Source organism: Homo sapiens, chromosome 9, assembly GCF_000001405.40.
Source record: "Homo sapiens chromosome 9, GRCh38.p14 Primary Assembly".
NCBI classification, from domain to species: Eukaryota; Metazoa; Chordata; class Mammalia; order Primates; family Hominidae; genus Homo; species Homo sapiens.
Window position 1 is genome coordinate 34329276 of NC_000009.12, and position 15462 is coordinate 34344737.

The following is a 15462-nucleotide window of genomic DNA, read 5'->3' on the forward strand; positions in this document are numbered from 1 at the left end:
CTGTGGCCCGCGCGTCGCCAGTCCCGCACCGCCCACCAATGGGCATCCAAGGAATCGGTTGACGTTCGTTGACTTCTCCTCTGGAAGACCAATCAGAGGTCTGAAGAAACCGTGGGCGTAACTCTCAATTTCCGACCTTCAGCCAATCGTTCCGCTTGAGGGAAGATCTCGCGACGTTTCAGTGTGAGACGCGCACCTTTGAGGCGGGTCGAAGATCCTTCTGCCGAATTCTATTGATGGGCCCAAGCGTAACCAGGCTCTTCTGATTGGCCGGTGTACTTCAGTTTCCGTCCAAGGTCCGCCTCCTACCTCCTTCTGCTTCGGGTGAGTACCCTTAAGGGCCCACTTGATTTTAGTTCTCAGTGGAGGAAATGAGCCTTGGAGCGATGGGAATCTGCCTCTGGCAAACCTCTGGTCGCTGCAGGGCCCGAGAGGGATGCGCCCTCCTCTAAGTTGGCAGTGAGGTGTGGGCAGGCCAGGTCCCATCCGCTCTCAGGACCTCAGTTTTCCTGTCTGCACCGGGAGAAGGGAGGTTCCCTGACTCTGAGCCTTGCTTGTCCCCGTCGGAGTGGGGATAGGGTGGGTCGTCCAAATCCCAGAGGCGGGAGAGGTCCAGGTTTAGGGCCCAGAGGCCCAGGCGCCGAACCTTCCCCTCCCTGGGCCTCAGTTTCACTTGTTGCTACCCATTAAACCCCGCCTGCTTTCCAAAAGAGATTTTATGTTTTCTAATTGCTTCAGTTATTGAATGGATAATATCGTGGCAGTTATAGCAGAAGTAAAGAAAGTCGAACAAGAGCCCCACCGCCTTAAACAAACAAACAAAAAAGGGACAGCGTAAACAATGCAGGCCGGGTGCGGTGGCTCACGCCTGTAATCCCAGCATTTTGGGAGGCCAAGGCGGGCGGATCACGAGGTCAGGAGATCGAGACCATCCTGGCTAACACGGTGAAACCCCGTCTCTACTAAACAAAATACAAAAGTTAGCCAGGCGTCGTGGCGGGCACGTATAGTCCCTGCTACTCGGGAGGCTGAGGCAGGAGAATGGCATGAACCCAGGAGGCGGAGCTTGCAGTGAGCGGAGGTCGCGCCACTGCACTCCAGCCTGGGCGACAGAGCGAGACTCCGTCTCAAAAACAAAACAAAACAAAAAAAAACTGAATGCAATCAAATTGTCAAATGTAAAACGCTATTATAGAGTTAAGGTTAAGATCATTGATGTTAGGAGTCAGGCAGACCTACATTTGAGTCACTTACCCAGACATCTCTGAGCTATAGTTCCCTTTCTACTCTTCTGAAAAATGGCAGTAATGCCTCAGCGGGTTGTTGTGAAGATTAAGTGAAATAATGAAGGTAAAGCACTTGACACAACGCCTGGCGAGTAGTAACTTCTTAAAAAATGGTAGCGGCCGGGCGCGGTGGCTCACGCCTGTAATCCTAGCCCTTTGGGAGGCCGAGGCGGGCGGATCACGAGGTCAGGAGATCGAGACCATCCTGGCTGACACGGTGAAACCCCGTCTCTACTAAAAACACAAAAAATTAGCCGGGCGTGGTGGCGGGCGCCTGTGGTCCCAGCTACTCGGGAGGCTGAGGCAGGAGAATGGCACGAACCCGGGAGGCGGAGTTTGCAGAGAGCAGAGATCGCACCACTGCACTCCAGCCTGGGCGACAGAGGGAGACTCCGTCTCAAAAAAAAAAAGGTAGCTATTATTCTTATAATAAGAACAGGCAAATACACTAGTCAGTGCGTTGGTGTACTTTTTGTAACTGAGTACCCAATTTTGCCCAAAATTAGTCAGTTAAGGGAAAAAAGGTAATTCTTACTAATAAGGAAACAAATCCATTCTTCAAAAGATAAATTATTTTTCTAGTTTCTATATTAAAAGGAATTTATGCTGTGGGACCTTATAAGGAATATATATACTGTGGTGAACAGTGTTGAGCAGTTTAACAGACAAGATGAAAAGTCATTTCTTTAAAACAGAGAAGCTTTTTGATGATCTTTTATGACACACGGGTAACAGTAACTCATATATTTAGTACCTCTGATAATGTCAGACCCTCTATATATGTCATTTATAAACTCCACAACAACCATGCAAAGTAGGTGTTAACTTCATTTTACAAATGAGGAAGTTAAGTATCTTGCTCTAAGTATCTTGCTCTATTAACTTCAATAGCTAGGCCTTTCTGACTGCATAGACAGCCATGCTTTTCTGTGTTTCTGACTAAAGGAGGATGAAAATGCTTGGAATACCAGACAGATGCAGGGGCAGGTTGGACAGCTTGACTTACCTAAATTGGAGGGAATGTGAGCTGCAGAGGTACCTATGGTAGGAGCAATATCTTGCTCTAATAGAAAATTTTCACCGTGGTCTTGGTAGAGAAGGGAGGAGAAAAAAATTGTTTTAATAAAAATAATTTTAAAAAAGTAAATTCCCACCTTGGGAAATGAAGAGATAGGATGAGATGATCACTGAACTTTAGACCCATCTGTTCATTTATCTTATGGATAGACTATAGCACTTCAAATTCAACTTGTCCCAAACAAATGCTTCACTTGCACCCCCTCCTCCACCCAGGCACTCAAACCAAAGCCTTTCTCTTTCCCTTGGCTTATGAAACATCTCTCTGTCCCTTAGACAATGAAATATCACTATTGTCCATTTTACTTTGAAATATCTCTCAGATTCATCCCTTCCTTTCCTTTCTCACAGCCTCTGCCTTGATCTAACTGGAATCATTTGTTAACTGGTCTGTTGCAATAGACTTGTAACTGGTTAATCTCTCTGCCTCCAATCTGTCCTAATTCGTTCCCCAGCTTGCTTGCAGCTAGAATATCTTTGTAAAATGTCAGTCTGACCAAATTATACCCTTGCCTAAAACCAGTCAGAGGCTTCATTGCCTACAGAATATAAACTAAGCTGTTTACCAATGAGATGTCATTTTGTGCTTGAGGGTGTTGCCCACACTCCTCCCTTTGCTGGCAGTGCCTTGCATCCGCCTCCCTTCTGCCTGGTAAACTAGTGACCCATCAGAATCCTTATGGGGTACCTTGTTAACCTAAAGATGCTTCTTTGCTGCCTTTCCATCTTACGTTGCACAAAACACACTGTAACTTGTCTGTTGGAATGTCTTCCACTTTCACTAGCCTGTAAATCTCTAGGAAGTTGGTGCTTGGTAGTATTCAGCTTCATATCTATCTGTCAATCCTTCACACTGTCTGTCGCATGGGATACGCACAACAGACAAATTCCCCGAGTTAGCTTTCTAGAATTGTACAGCAGATGGCACTAATAGGCTGCTTAACAAATCCCCTTCACTAAGAATGATTTTTGTCCCAACCTTGTCTGACTTTGGCCTTATCCTAGAAGCCAATATTTATGCCATTACAGGTAAAATCTCCTGTTTCCTCCCTCAGCCAATAGCAAAAATAACAAAATGACTCAGCAGCTTCGTCTCTGCAAGAATGGAGTGGCAGATGTCCAGGGAAAGGTGCATTTGAGGGAATATTTTCTTTGTCTCAATTTATTCATGGTAGTTGGGGCTTTTCTTTTGCATTTCTTTCTTTTTTCTTCTCTTCCATTTGTTATTGTTCTTACAAGAAAGAGCTTTACTCATGGGTGGGTGCCTCATTTCTGTCCACTCCAAAAGGGAAGAAAGAAACTGGCAAATTGGAAAAAAGATGATGATGATGTGGGAGGTGAGGGAGTAGTCACATAGAATTGCAGTCACATAGAATTGCTTGTGGGCAGGCAAACAGTTGGCTTTCCTCCTCATCTGGAGGAGGGTCTGGGCAAATTTTCTGGACACTAGTGCCCTAAGTTAAGTGGAACATGTGGTTTTAGGTTCCTACTTCCCAGAAAAGAGCAGAGGAGGCATAGAAACCCTTTTGAGATGGGTGCTATTAGGAGCCTGAGGCTACATTTTACCCCTCCTTCAGAGTCTTCTTCGGATACCAGGATTTAACATCTACGGCCCTCTCCCCCCAACTAAAACCTTTTTGGTGGAAATGATCCCAGCTAGACATCTTAACCTCCAAAGGAATATAGATTAAAGACTGGGAATTTGGGGCCAGGCACAGTAGATTGCACCTGTAATCCCAGCACTTTGGGAGGCCAAAGTGGGAAGGTCACTTAAGGCCAGGAGTTCAAGACTAGCTTGGTCAGCATAGCAAGACCCCATCTCTACAAAAAAAGTGTTTTTTAAATTTAGCCAGATGTGATGGCTCCTGCTTGTAGTCCTAGCTACCCAGGAGGCTAAGACAGGAAAATTCCTTGAGCCCAGAAGGGATGCAGTGAGCTCTTGAGGCTGCAGTGAGCTGTGATCATACCATTGCCCTCCAGTCTGGATGACACAGAGAGACATTGTCAAAAAAAAAAAAAAAAAAAAAAAAAAAAGGACTGGGAATTTTGAAACTGGAAATGATTTTATAAATCTTGTCTGTCCTCTCTCAGGGCCATTTGTGTCCTAAGCCCTACTCTTTCATGGTGAACAGAGCTATGAAAGGGACAAAAATTATAGACTTTGGAGTTAGACTTACTTGGATTGAAATCCCATCCTTTACAGGCCAGCTATGCCCTTATGCAAGTATTTTAACCTTTTGAAATAATATCAGTGTCCTTGTAAATTAGATATAATAATGCTTCTCTTGAAAGGTTGTTTTGAGCTTTAGAAACAATAGTTGTCAAAAGTCTTGCACAGTATAGCTGGCACAGTATATATAGATGCTTAATTGACAACGCGGCATGAAACACTGTTTCTGCTAAAGGGATATTAGAATATGGAGAACAGGTCAGAGGGAAAATTTGGAGAGCTCTTCCTGTACCTAAAGTTACATTTCTGAGGGCTTTTTACAGTTACTCTGATTAATTTGATGAAAATATTGAAACAAACAGCATAGCCATGTATTTGTAAATTCTTTTTTTGGTACCTAGGTCCCGAACCTCCTAGGCTCTGAGGGAATTGTATTTATGGAGAAAGCCGAGAATATTTTTCCTTAGCTTCTAGAACCTTCTAATGACATTGAAGGTTTTTTTGTTCAGGTTTTTTCTAACCACCTCAGGCACTCTGCCACTTTTTTGAAGTGTGAATTGCCTGCTGTCAGCCTGGAGTTCTCACCTCCGCAATCCTGGCTGCAGGCATATTTGCATATTGGATGCTGTGTTCCTTAACCCCCTGAGGTTTGAATCCACTTGGAGTCTGTGTGTGAAAGCTGGCTACTTTCAAACCCATGAACAGTTTCAGCTTTGTGGTCTCCAGAAAAACAGAAAACCCCCAACAATAGTTCCATTCACTTTTATGTAAATGGCACTCTTCAGGAAAACACTGGGCTATTTCCCAGGGCCCCAGAACATACTCAAACATTTGTTTGAGTGGGAGGTGGGGAGAGAGTTCTTTTGAGTCAATGAACATCTGTTCAGAACTGCTGTGCTGGGTCCCAAGAAAACAGAGCTTATAATCTGTCTCTTCCCTGCCAGAGGTACCAGCAGAGATTTACTATACTAGGTATATGTGCTTGTGGTGGCATTGTACTGTGTCAGTTTAGCTAAGCTGGATTCCCAGTATCCTTCCTATCTGCTTCCAGGTGAGGGTTGTCCACAAGAAAATTTCGTGAGAGATTTGGAAAGCTGAATTGAAGTAGCAGCCAGTACACTGTGAAGGACAGAGCAGGGTCTGTACGCTGTGAAGGACAGAGCAGGGTACCAGGCATAGTGGCAGTACCTGTACTTTCTCTCTGATCTGGCTCACCTTGTTGGTGAAGGTCATCACACAGCCCCCAGCACCCCTAGCTCCTACTGAATTTCCTCCTTCAGCTCCTCTGAGTCCTGGGCCATGTGTGCAGTCAGCTCTGTAGCAGAGGGCTCCGGCTTCTCCAGATCACCTGAGTCACTGAGCTTGGGACCAGTGAAAGGAAGTTGTGGGTTTCAGTTTGTCCTCATGAGTTCCAGTTGTCCTTGTAGATCCCAGTTTGTTCTCAGAGGTTCCAGTTTGTCTTTGTTCTCTTCCACCTCACATCCAGTTTTCTTCCCAACTGCTGGCCTCACAGACTTCGGGCCCAACACCAGGTGCAGAGGCAGCAGAGTTGCATGGATTTATCCACCAACTTCCAAAGATACACAGTGTCTACTCCTTATAATAAATCTTTAGTTTTCTGTCACTCATAGCGTTTGCTTCCCTGATTGAACTTTAAATTTGTTCAAGCCGTGTTAAGGATGCAGAGCATGGAAGTGATTAGAAGCCAGAAAGCTTCACAGAGGAGGTGACATCTGAGCTGCTTCTGACGAGTAGGAGGTTGTGTGTATAGAGTGGGTAGGAGGAATTCTAGAGAATAGCTGGCTCAAGCCAAGCAATTGAAAGAGCAGTGAGGAGTTCTGTATTTCTAGAAGAACTGTTCTTTCCATGGGTCCAGAATATAGATGGAGAATGAGCATCTGATCCTAGCTCTTCTGGCGCCATTGAGATTAACTGTTAGCTGATGTGGTTCTTAGATGTGGTCATCCCTAATACACTGGCATCCACTGAAATACATTCTTGCTAGGGTACACCCTTGTCACTACCCTAAGATTCCTCCCCCACCCCACCGCTGCTTTCCTCTCCCCAGTGGTTCCATGTGGCTAACCCAGGCTTGTCTTTCTTGGCTCCCCATGCAGGCATCTTTGCTTGTCCATGTTGTGTTGATGGTGGCAGTGGTATGGAGTTCCTGTCTTAGGCAGGGCACTGTGCCCTCTAGTCTTGGATCCCTAAGCTTATTTAGGGGTTCTAACATTGATTCCATGGGACCTTCTAGTCTTGGATCCCTAAGCTTATTTAGGGGTTCTAACATTCATTCCATGGGACCCTCTAGTCTTGGATCCCTAAGCTTATTTAGGGGTTCTAACATTCCATGGGACCTGAGGCAGGAGCAAGGTACCCCACATCTATAACTTTCTAATGCTTTTTGAGCATCTTTATAGGGAGGGCATGGGATCAGCTACCTGTTTCTGCCTCAACCACGGACCAATAATATGAGATCTTTGTTCACCAGTTCTACAGTGATGGGGTGCTTCCTTTTGGCTTCTGGAATGGGGTAAGTTCTTGACATAAATAGGGAGTCCAGGAAAATAGAACAATGAAATAGAATAGAAAAATGAAAGCCTACCACTTTATATATGAATTTGTAAACTCAAACAGGGATTTCATTATACATGCTATTCAGAACTGTCTCCTTTTCATGTGTCTAAAAATTTTTCTTACAAGCAGTACATTAGGCTTGACCTAATTTTTTTTTCTTTTTCTTTTGTTTTTGAGACAAGGTCTCACTGTATTGCCCAGGCTGGAGTGCATTGGTGCAAACATGGCTCACTGTAGCCTCAACCTTCCAGGCTCAAGCAATCTTCCCACGTTGGCCTCCCAAGTAGCTGGAAGTACAGGTGCATGCCACCATACCTGGCTAATTTTTTTTCTATTTTTTGAGAGACAAGGTCTCACTGTGTTGTCCGGACTGGTCTCAAACTCCTGGGCTCAGGCAATCCTCCTGCCTCAGCCTCCCAGAATGCTGGGATTAAAGGCTCGAGCCACTGAACCCAGCCTCGACCTCATTTTTTTTAATGACTTCATGCTATTTCATCATATAGATATACTGTACTTTTTGCCTATTCCCATATTGATGGATATTTGTTTCTGGCTCTTTTCCTTTTTGATATTGCAAACAAAGTTGTAGTGAACATTGTTATATGTACATCTTTTTTTTTTTTTTTTTTTTGAGACAGAGTTTCGCTCTTGTTGCCCAGGCTGGAATTCAGTGGCCCCGTCTCGGCTCACCACAACCTCCACCTCCCGGGTTCAAGTGATTCTTCTGCCTCAGCCTCCCAAGTAGCTGGGATTACAGGCGTGTGCCATCACGCCTGGATAATTTTTGTATTTTTAGTAGAGACGGGGTTTCTCCATGTTAGTCAGGCTGGTCTTGAACTCCTGACCTCAGGTGATCTACCCGCCTTGGCCTCCCAAAGTGCTGGGATTACAGGCATGAGCCACTGTGCCCGGCCCGTTGTGTGTACATCTTAAACCTATATTTCTTATGTGAGAGTGGCTAGAAATGGAATTGCTGGCTCTTAGGGAATGTGCATTTTATGTTTTGATAATTATTATCAAATGGCCCTCCTAAGGGGATATGCTAATTTACTTTTCTACCAACAGTATATGAGAGCACAGACCATTTCAGAAATCCCCTTTGAGATTATTTCCAGTCCTTAAAAACTTTTGTTACAGGTTTAGAAAAGCTTGGAAAGGTCTTGGTGTTGGGTGTTTGGTTTTTGGTGAGAAACCGCTATTCTCTAGAGTAACATTACCATCTGTTGGCAGTCTTGAGAATTGCCCTGGAGTAGGTTTCTGTTTGGGCCTGATTTTTATGCCTTTGATAGCTGCAAATTCATCTTGATTGAGCACCAGCAAAGGGACTGTGGAGGATAGCAGCTCCTGCTCCAGCTGCCCTCTCTGCATCAGCTGTGCAACCCCCGGGCACCAGCAATGTCAGGCAATGGTGGCATGTGCCTGTATTGCCAGCTGCTCAGGAGGCTAAGGGGGGAGGACCACTTCTTTTTTTGAGACAGAGTCTCACTCTGTCGCCAAGCTGGAGTGCAGTGGCCCGATCTCGGCTCACCACAACCGTAACCTCCGCCTCCCGGGTTCAAGCAATTCTCCTGCCTCAGCCTCCCGAGTAGCTGGGATTACAGGTGTGTGCCACCACACCCGGCTAATTTTTGTATTTTTAGTAGAGACAGGGTTTCACCATGTTGGCCAGGATGGTCTCAATCTCTTGACCTCGTGATCCACCCAGGGAGAGGACCACTTCTGTTTGGGAGTTTGAGGCCAGTCTAGGCAACATAGTAAGTCCCTGTTTCTTAAAAAAAAAAAAAAAAAAAAAAAAAAGGATAAAATAAAAGACTAAAAAAAATCAGACTGGGCATGGTGGCTCATGTCTATAATCCCAACACATTGGGAGGCTGAGGTAGGTGGATCACTTCAGCCCAGAAGTTCAGGATCAGCCTGGGCAATATAGTGAGACCCTGTCTCTAAAAAAAAAAAAAAAAAAAAAAAAAAAAAATTGGCCAGGCATGGTGGTGGCATGCCTGTAGTCCCAGCTACTTGAGAGGTTGAGGTGGGAGGTTTGCTTGAGCCTGGGAGGTCAAGGCTGCAGTGAGCCATGATCACACCATTGCACTCCAGCCTGGTCAACAGTGCTAGACCCTGTCTCAAAAAAAAAAAAAAACTCAACGAAATATTTTTTTCTATATGAAGTTACTCTCTGTAGATGACCTCTCTGCATTGTCAGAAACCACACTGCTGGGGGGTTCTGTGCTTCAGGGGCTCAGGATATGGGCTGGGGGAAATGGGGTTACAGGTTTGACGATAAAACTTGTACTGCCTCTCTCCCATTCCCAACATCTCTCTTGTTTCAGTGCGTTTGCTTCTGAGGATCTCCAGTGTCACAACAAACACATGCCAGCCCTGTTTTACAGGGAGCCCTGGAGGAGTTGGGATAGAGGCCACATTGACTGAGGGTAGTTGCCAGGGTCCTGCAGTTATACACAAAGGTCAGTCTCTGATTCCTGGATGCCTTCCATTGGTCCTGGGCATGCTGCCTTTTTCTGTGGGCTATGAGATCACAGTTAGCTAGTCTGCATTACTGTCCATCACCAGATTGCTACCCCCCAGTATGGAGCTTCCTATTTTGTGTAACTTCCCAATATTCTGTATCTTCTTTGTTAAGTCCTTAGGATAAGACCATGGCCTTGAGAGCATGTGGCTTGATCATCTTCCGAAGATGCCTCATTCCCAAAGTGGACAACAATGCAATTGAGTTTTTACTGCTGCAGGCATCAGATGGCATTCATCACTGGACTCCTCCCAAAGGTAGAGGCCAGAGGGGCCAGCTCTTGGGAAACTGCCAACCACTGCTCAGAAATCTACCCTGCCAGGCCCTCCCCAAGGCTTAATTCCCAGTGACTGTGTAGCAAAAAGGGGTAGGGAAGGTAGGAGCTCTTGACCCTTTCTACATACAAGGTCTCCAGACCAGGCCAGAGTAGAGCTGAGAATTCTGTGACTGAATTCCAGGGTAGAAACAGCACCTGGTGTTTTTATGAGTATCATTCGCCAGCTCTCCAACCTCTGTGGTGAATGGCTGGGTAAGAGAAAAAACAGTGGGCAGGGAATTGGGGACCTTGAGGTTGACTGAGCTATGTGCCCACCTCTCAGCTTTGAGTTTTTCATCTGTCAAACAAGGGCTTGACTAGAAAATCCTGTTTTCAGCCAGGCACAGTGGCACACGCCTATAATCCCAGCACTTTTGGAGGTCGAGGTGGGCAGATTGCTTGAGCCCAGGAGCTCGAGACCAGCCTGGGCAAAATGGCAAAACCATGTCTCTACAAAAAATACAAAAATTAGCCAGGTGTGGTGGTGCACACCTGTAGTCCCAGCTACTCAGGAGGCTGAGGTTAGAGAATAACTTGAGCTCGAGAGATCAAAGCTGCAGTGAGCCGAGATTGTGCCACAGCACTCCAGCCTGGACAACAGAGCCTGTCTCAAAAAAAAGAAAATCCTAAGTTTTCTTCCAGCCTGTCTCTGATTTCATTTGATCAATTTCCTTTGACTCCTAGTTCAGTGTCCCTATCATTAGGTTTTTCTTTTCTTTTTTTTTTTGAGACAAAGTCTCGCTTTGTCGCCCAGGCTGGAGAGCAGTGGGGCAATCTCAGCTCACTGCAACCTCCATCTCCCAGGTTCAAGCAATTCTCCTGCTTCAGCCTCCTGAGTAGCTGGGATTACAGGCGCCCACCACCACGCCTGGCTAATTTTTTGTATTTTTAGTAGAGACGGGGTTTCACCATGTTGGCCAGGCTGGTGTCAAACTCCTGACCTCAGGTGATCTGCCCGTCTGAGCCTCCCAAAGTGCTGGGATTACAGGCGTGAGCCACCGCACCCAGCCAGGTTTTTCTTTTGAACTAAACACAGAGAGTATGAGTTCTACAGTGTTTCTGAACATAGTTGTATTTTGAGTTGGAGCATAGAGAAGTTGGGCTCCCTGATCATAGATTCATCTGCAGATTGTGGCAGGAGTGGAGGAGTGAGGAGATGGGCAGGGCCTTCTTAGACCAGGAGGGGATGGGCAGGGCCTTCTTAGACTGTAAAGATTATGGAGACCTTGAGATTGCAGCTTGACCAGCTAGCTACCTGTGCCTTGAGTCTATCACTCAGCACTGAGGGTGGAGTCGGGCAAGTCTCCAGTGGGAAGAACAGTGAAGACTACTGGCCTGAGGCCTTAGGCCAGGCCAAGATCTGTTTGTAAGCTGGCCAGTTTTCATCCACCAGCACTCCTGACCTCACCTCTAAGAGTAAGAAAGCTGCAGTCATTTGGTCCTGAAAGAGAAGCCAGGCTGTGTGGGGAGAAATGGGAAAAAGGAGCCCTTCTTGGCTGAGGCCATTGGGATGGTTTGAGTTGGGAGGGACAGACTGTGGCTCAGGTGCCTGCTGGAATGAGGAATAGCCCTCAGACAGAAGGAAGCAGGGACTTTATTTTTTAAATTATTTTGTTATTATTATTACTATTTTATAGAGACAGGGTCTTACTATATTGCCCAGGCTGGTCTTGAACTCCTGGGCTCAAGTGATCTGCCCACTTGGTCTCCCAAAGTGCTGGGATTATAGGCATGAGCCACCACGCCTGGCCAGAAGCGGGGACTTTAAAAGGGAGTGGGGTTAGAAGGGATGGACAAAGATCCAGGATTGAAGGAAAACAAGGAAATGGGAACAGGAAATAAATTTTGCATGTTTGAGTTGTACTGGGGAGAAACAAGGTGAAAAAAGAGGCAGAAGCTTCACAAATACTATGAATAGGAATATTCACACTTGTCTCCGGATCACATGAGTCACACTGCCTTGTTCCTCTCACTACCTGATGTCAGTGGACCTCTCCTAATCCTTTCCTGCTTCGGCAGAAGCTACCCTGTTAATTAACACTGATGGACAGAATACTGAATAGATGCCCCTGGGAGGGGTGTGCTCAGGGACTTCCATACACCTCTGAGGGGAGGTAGGACGTCCTGAGTCAGTATCACCCATCACTACTAGCATCCCTCCCACCTTGCTCCCCTGATGCATTACCTGTCTGTCTTTGTGTACACCACTATAGGAGGTGCTTGTGCAGAGAAAATTCCCCAGAAGCTATAAGCTAGAATGGTTTTTAAGTGCTAAGTTTCTGGGGGTTTTGTTTGTTTGTTTGAGACGGAGTCTCGCTCTGTTGCCCAAACTGGAGTACAATGGCACAATCTTGGCTCGCTGCAACCTCCGCCTCCTGGGCTCAAGTGATTCTCCTGCCTCAGCCTCCCGAGTAGCTGGGATTACAGATGTCCACTGCCACGCCCAGCTCATTTTTGTATTTTTAGTAGAGACAGGGTTTCACCATGTTGGCCAGGCTGGTCTCAAACTCCTGACCTCAGATGATCCACCCGCCTCGGCCTCCCAGAGTGTTGGGATTACAGGCATGAGCCACCGCCCCTGGACCCTGGGGAGTTTTTTGTGCAGCAGCTGGCTCTGGGCATTGTAGACCCCTGGGAAGGATGAGGGCCCCCATCTCCAAACCAAGGAGAGAACAACTGAGTTCCTGCTCGCCATGAGCCTGTGAGCAGGAGGCCTCCCTAGAAACTTACTGGAGCCAAGGTGTAGACAGAGTCTGCCAGACCGTTCCCAGTCTTTGCCCCCTCTGGGGAAGCTGAAGATTTGTGGGAGGGGACTAGAGGTAAAGCTGAGAGCTGCTCCAGTCTGCAGAGCTTCAAGTTCTCCTACAGCAGTTTCTTGGCAGCTGTCTTCTTGGGTTTGGGTGTTGCTAACACATTTTCTTAGAAGTGGTTCTCAGCTGGCCCTTAGTCTAAGTTCCCATCAAGAGTTTCCCTATGAAACTGAAATCTGGCTTTGCCCAGTAAGAAAGAGGAAAACAATTTGGAAAAAGCCTTGATAGCTTCATGGAAACAGCTGCTCATTCAGCCGTGCAGGGTTTTGAGCCTGTTGGCCCTGGAATGTCAGGGTCCACCTGCAGACAATGTTAAGTCCTCACTGGATTGTAGGCAAAGTACTTCCTCGTCAGCTAACTTCCACTTGTTAAGAAAGGACTTCCCCCTCCTTGGAAAAATCACTTCAAGGTCTCCAATAGAAAAGTGATTCCTTAGAGCATGGGATGAAGAAAGTTCCGAAGAATAAGAAAGCAGACGTCTGAAGAAGGTCATCTCACACCATAAAAGAGCAGTATTCTAAACCTGACTTGCTATACACATGGTCTGTTTCACTCTCTGCAGAGAAGAGGGAATGGAAAGGTGGGATTGCTCAAACCCCGAGAACTAGACACTACCTGCCCTGCACCCCCTTCCCAGGCATGTTAGGATATTGCCAATCTCCAGGCTTCCTTTAGCAACACCTAGAAAAGTCACTGAATGGCTGGGTGTGGTGGCTCATACCTGTAATCCCAACACTTTGGGAGGCTGAGGCAGGAGGATGACTTGAGGCCAGGAGTTTGAGACCAGCCTGGGAAATATAGTGAGACCCCATCTTTACCAAATAAATAAATAAATAAATAAATAGCTGGGCATGGTGGCACATGCCTGTTGTTCTGAATACTCAGGAGGCTAAGGTGGGAGGATCACTTGAGCCCAGGAATTCAAGGCTGCGGTGAGCTGATTGCACTACTGCACTCTGGCCTGGGCAACAGAGTGAGTCCCTGTCTCAAAGCAAAACAGAAAAAAAAAAAAATCTTGTCTGGAAAATCCAGCTTTGGGAACTTTGGAAGATTTCCTCCTCCTTTTCTTCCTCTTTTCTCCTAACTAGGCCATGTGGAACCAGGAGAGGATGACTTGGAAACAGCCCTGAGGGAGACCCAAGAGGAAGCAGGCATAGAAGCAGGCCAGCTGACCATTATTGAGGGGTTCAAAAGGGAACTCAATTATGTGGCCAGGAACAAGCCTAAAACAGTCATTTACTGGCTGGCGGAGGTGAAGGACTATGACGTGGAGATCCGCCTCTCCCATGAGCACCAAGCCTACCGCTGGCTGGGGCTGGAGGAGGCCTGCCAGTTGGCTCAGTTCAAGGAGATGAAGGCAGCGCTCCAAGAAGGACACCAGTTTCTTTGCTCCATAGAGGCCTGAGCTGACTGGAGCAGAGTCATTTGCTTCAGCAGGATCCTTGTGGGCCTTCTAAGATGAAGCCACCCTCAGGTCCAGGGAAGGTTGTGCTGGTATTTGGCTCATGACAGCCAAGAGCAGATTTGTGAAATCGGCTCAACTCCCAGGTGAGAGCAAGCAAAAATCTTGGCTGGGTGGAAAGGAAGGCAAAAGAGTAAAAATTAAAAAGGCCAGGCCCAGTAAGTGTACCTTGTACTTTATAAATAAACCTCAAGCAGCTCAAGGTTGTCCTTCTAACCTGTTGTGTTTATTTCTTGGACTCTTGGCATTGGTGGAGAGAAGAAAGCTGAAGTGAATCAGAGTTCTGACCTTAACCAGAGGGAACTCTGTGTCCATACAGTATCCCCAGAGAACTTAAGAGCTAGGGATCCAAATGGAAGAGACCCAGCACTGGCAGGATGGCTCTCTCGCCTCTGGAATGCCAAGCACACCCACCCCACCCCCACCAGGGGCCCTGAGACTTTGTGACCCATAGTCAGGATTTCCAAGTGAGTGGGACTGGAGTGCAGGAATTGGGTCTGTCCTACTCACTAATATATCTTTCACCAGCAGCAGGCACATATGTTGTAAGTACTCAGTAAATATTACCTTAAATAGGGCCAGGCACGGTGGCTCACACCTGTAATCCCAGCACTTGAGGCCTAGGTGAGCAGATCACTTGAGGTCAAGAGTTTGAGACCAGCATGGGCAACATGGTGAAACCCTGTCTCTACTAAAAATACAAAAATTACCTGGGGGTGGTGGCACACACCTGTAATTCCAGCTACTCGAGAGGCTGAGGCAAGAGAATCACTTGAACCTGGAAAATGAAGGTTGCCGTGAGCTGGGATCGTGCCACTGCACTCCAGCCTGGGCGACAAAGCGAGACTGTCTCAAAAAATGAAAGTATTACCTTAAATAATTAGAGACTGGCTAGGCGTGGTGGCTCATGCCTATAATCTCAGCAGTTTGAGAGGCTGAGGTGGGTGGATAACTGAGGTCAGGAGTTTAAGACCATTATGGCCAACATGGTGAAACCCCATCTCTACTAAAAACACAAACATTAGCTGGGCATGGTGGTGCACACCTGTAATCCCAGCTTCTTGGGAGGCTGAGGCAGCAGAATTGCTTGAACCTGGGAGGTGGAGGTTGTGGTGAGCTGAGATGGTGCCATTGCACTCCAGCCTAGGCAAGAGTGAGACTGTCTCAAAAATAAATAAATAGGCTGGGCGCAGTGGCTCACGCCTGTAATCCCAGCACTTTGGGAGGCCAAGGCAGGTGG

The 15462-nt window shown here is 46.8% G+C and overlaps 2 protein-coding genes across 5 annotated transcripts in view, besides 2 other annotated features; one reads left to right on the forward strand and one right to left on the reverse strand.

Annotated features, from left to right (window-relative positions):
• Nucleotides 1-4396, reverse strand: part of KIF24 (kinesin family member 24) — an 81292-nt gene extending 76896 nt beyond the window's left edge. The window contains exon 1 of the mRNA XM_011517863.4: nt 2293-4396. The gene's annotated coding sequence lies outside the window, so the exon portion shown is untranslated. The remainder of the gene's footprint in view (nt 1-2292) is intronic.
• Nucleotides 7-514: an enhancer, noted in NCBI's record as "H3K27ac hESC enhancer chr9:34329280-34329787 (GRCh37/hg19 assembly coordinates)". NCBI's record gives its function as "activates a minimal SCP1, AML or CMV promoter by ChIP-STARR-seq in naive H9 embryonic stem cells {active_cell/tissue: H9 hESC(naive)}" and the evidence as "EXISTENCE:reporter gene assay evidence [ECO:0000049][PMID:30033119]".
• Nucleotides 50-239: an enhancer, noted in NCBI's record as "active region_28309". NCBI's record gives its function as "activates an Ori minimal core promoter by ATAC-STARR-seq in GM12878 lymphoblastoid cells {active_cell/tissue: GM12878}" and the evidence as "EXISTENCE:reporter gene assay evidence [ECO:0000049][PMID:35858748]".
• NUDT2 (nudix hydrolase 2) lies at nt 294-14424 on the forward strand. Of its 4 annotated transcripts, none has more exons than NM_001161.5 (5): nt 294-324; nt 6954-7066; nt 9438-9572; nt 9749-9891; nt 13849-14424. In NM_001161.5, the coding sequence occupies exons 4-5, from the start codon at nt 9765-9767 to the stop codon at nt 14163-14165; spliced, it is 444 nt and encodes a 147-aa protein (NP_001152.1). In that variant the 5' UTR covers nt 294-324; nt 6954-7066; nt 9438-9572; nt 9749-9764; the 3' UTR covers nt 14166-14424. The 4 variants fall into 4 exon arrangements, with proteins under 4 accessions (NP_001152.1, NP_671701.1, NP_671702.1 ...); NM_147172.3 differs by having other exon boundaries at nt 7025-7066; NM_147173.3 differs by lacking the exon at nt 6954-7066.
• Nucleotides 14425-15462: the final 1038 nt, after the last annotated feature.

Excerpts from the sequence above, each read along its gene's own strand:
- NUDT2 (NM_001161.5), top strand. The coding sequence starts at position 9,765 with ATGGCCTTGAGAGCATGTGGCTTGATCATCTTCCGAAGATGCCTCATT. Across the intron at positions 9,892-13,848 it reads TCACTGGACTCCTCCCAAAG|GCCATGTGGAACCAGGAGAG; the intron begins GTAGAGGCCAGA and ends TCTCCTAACTAG.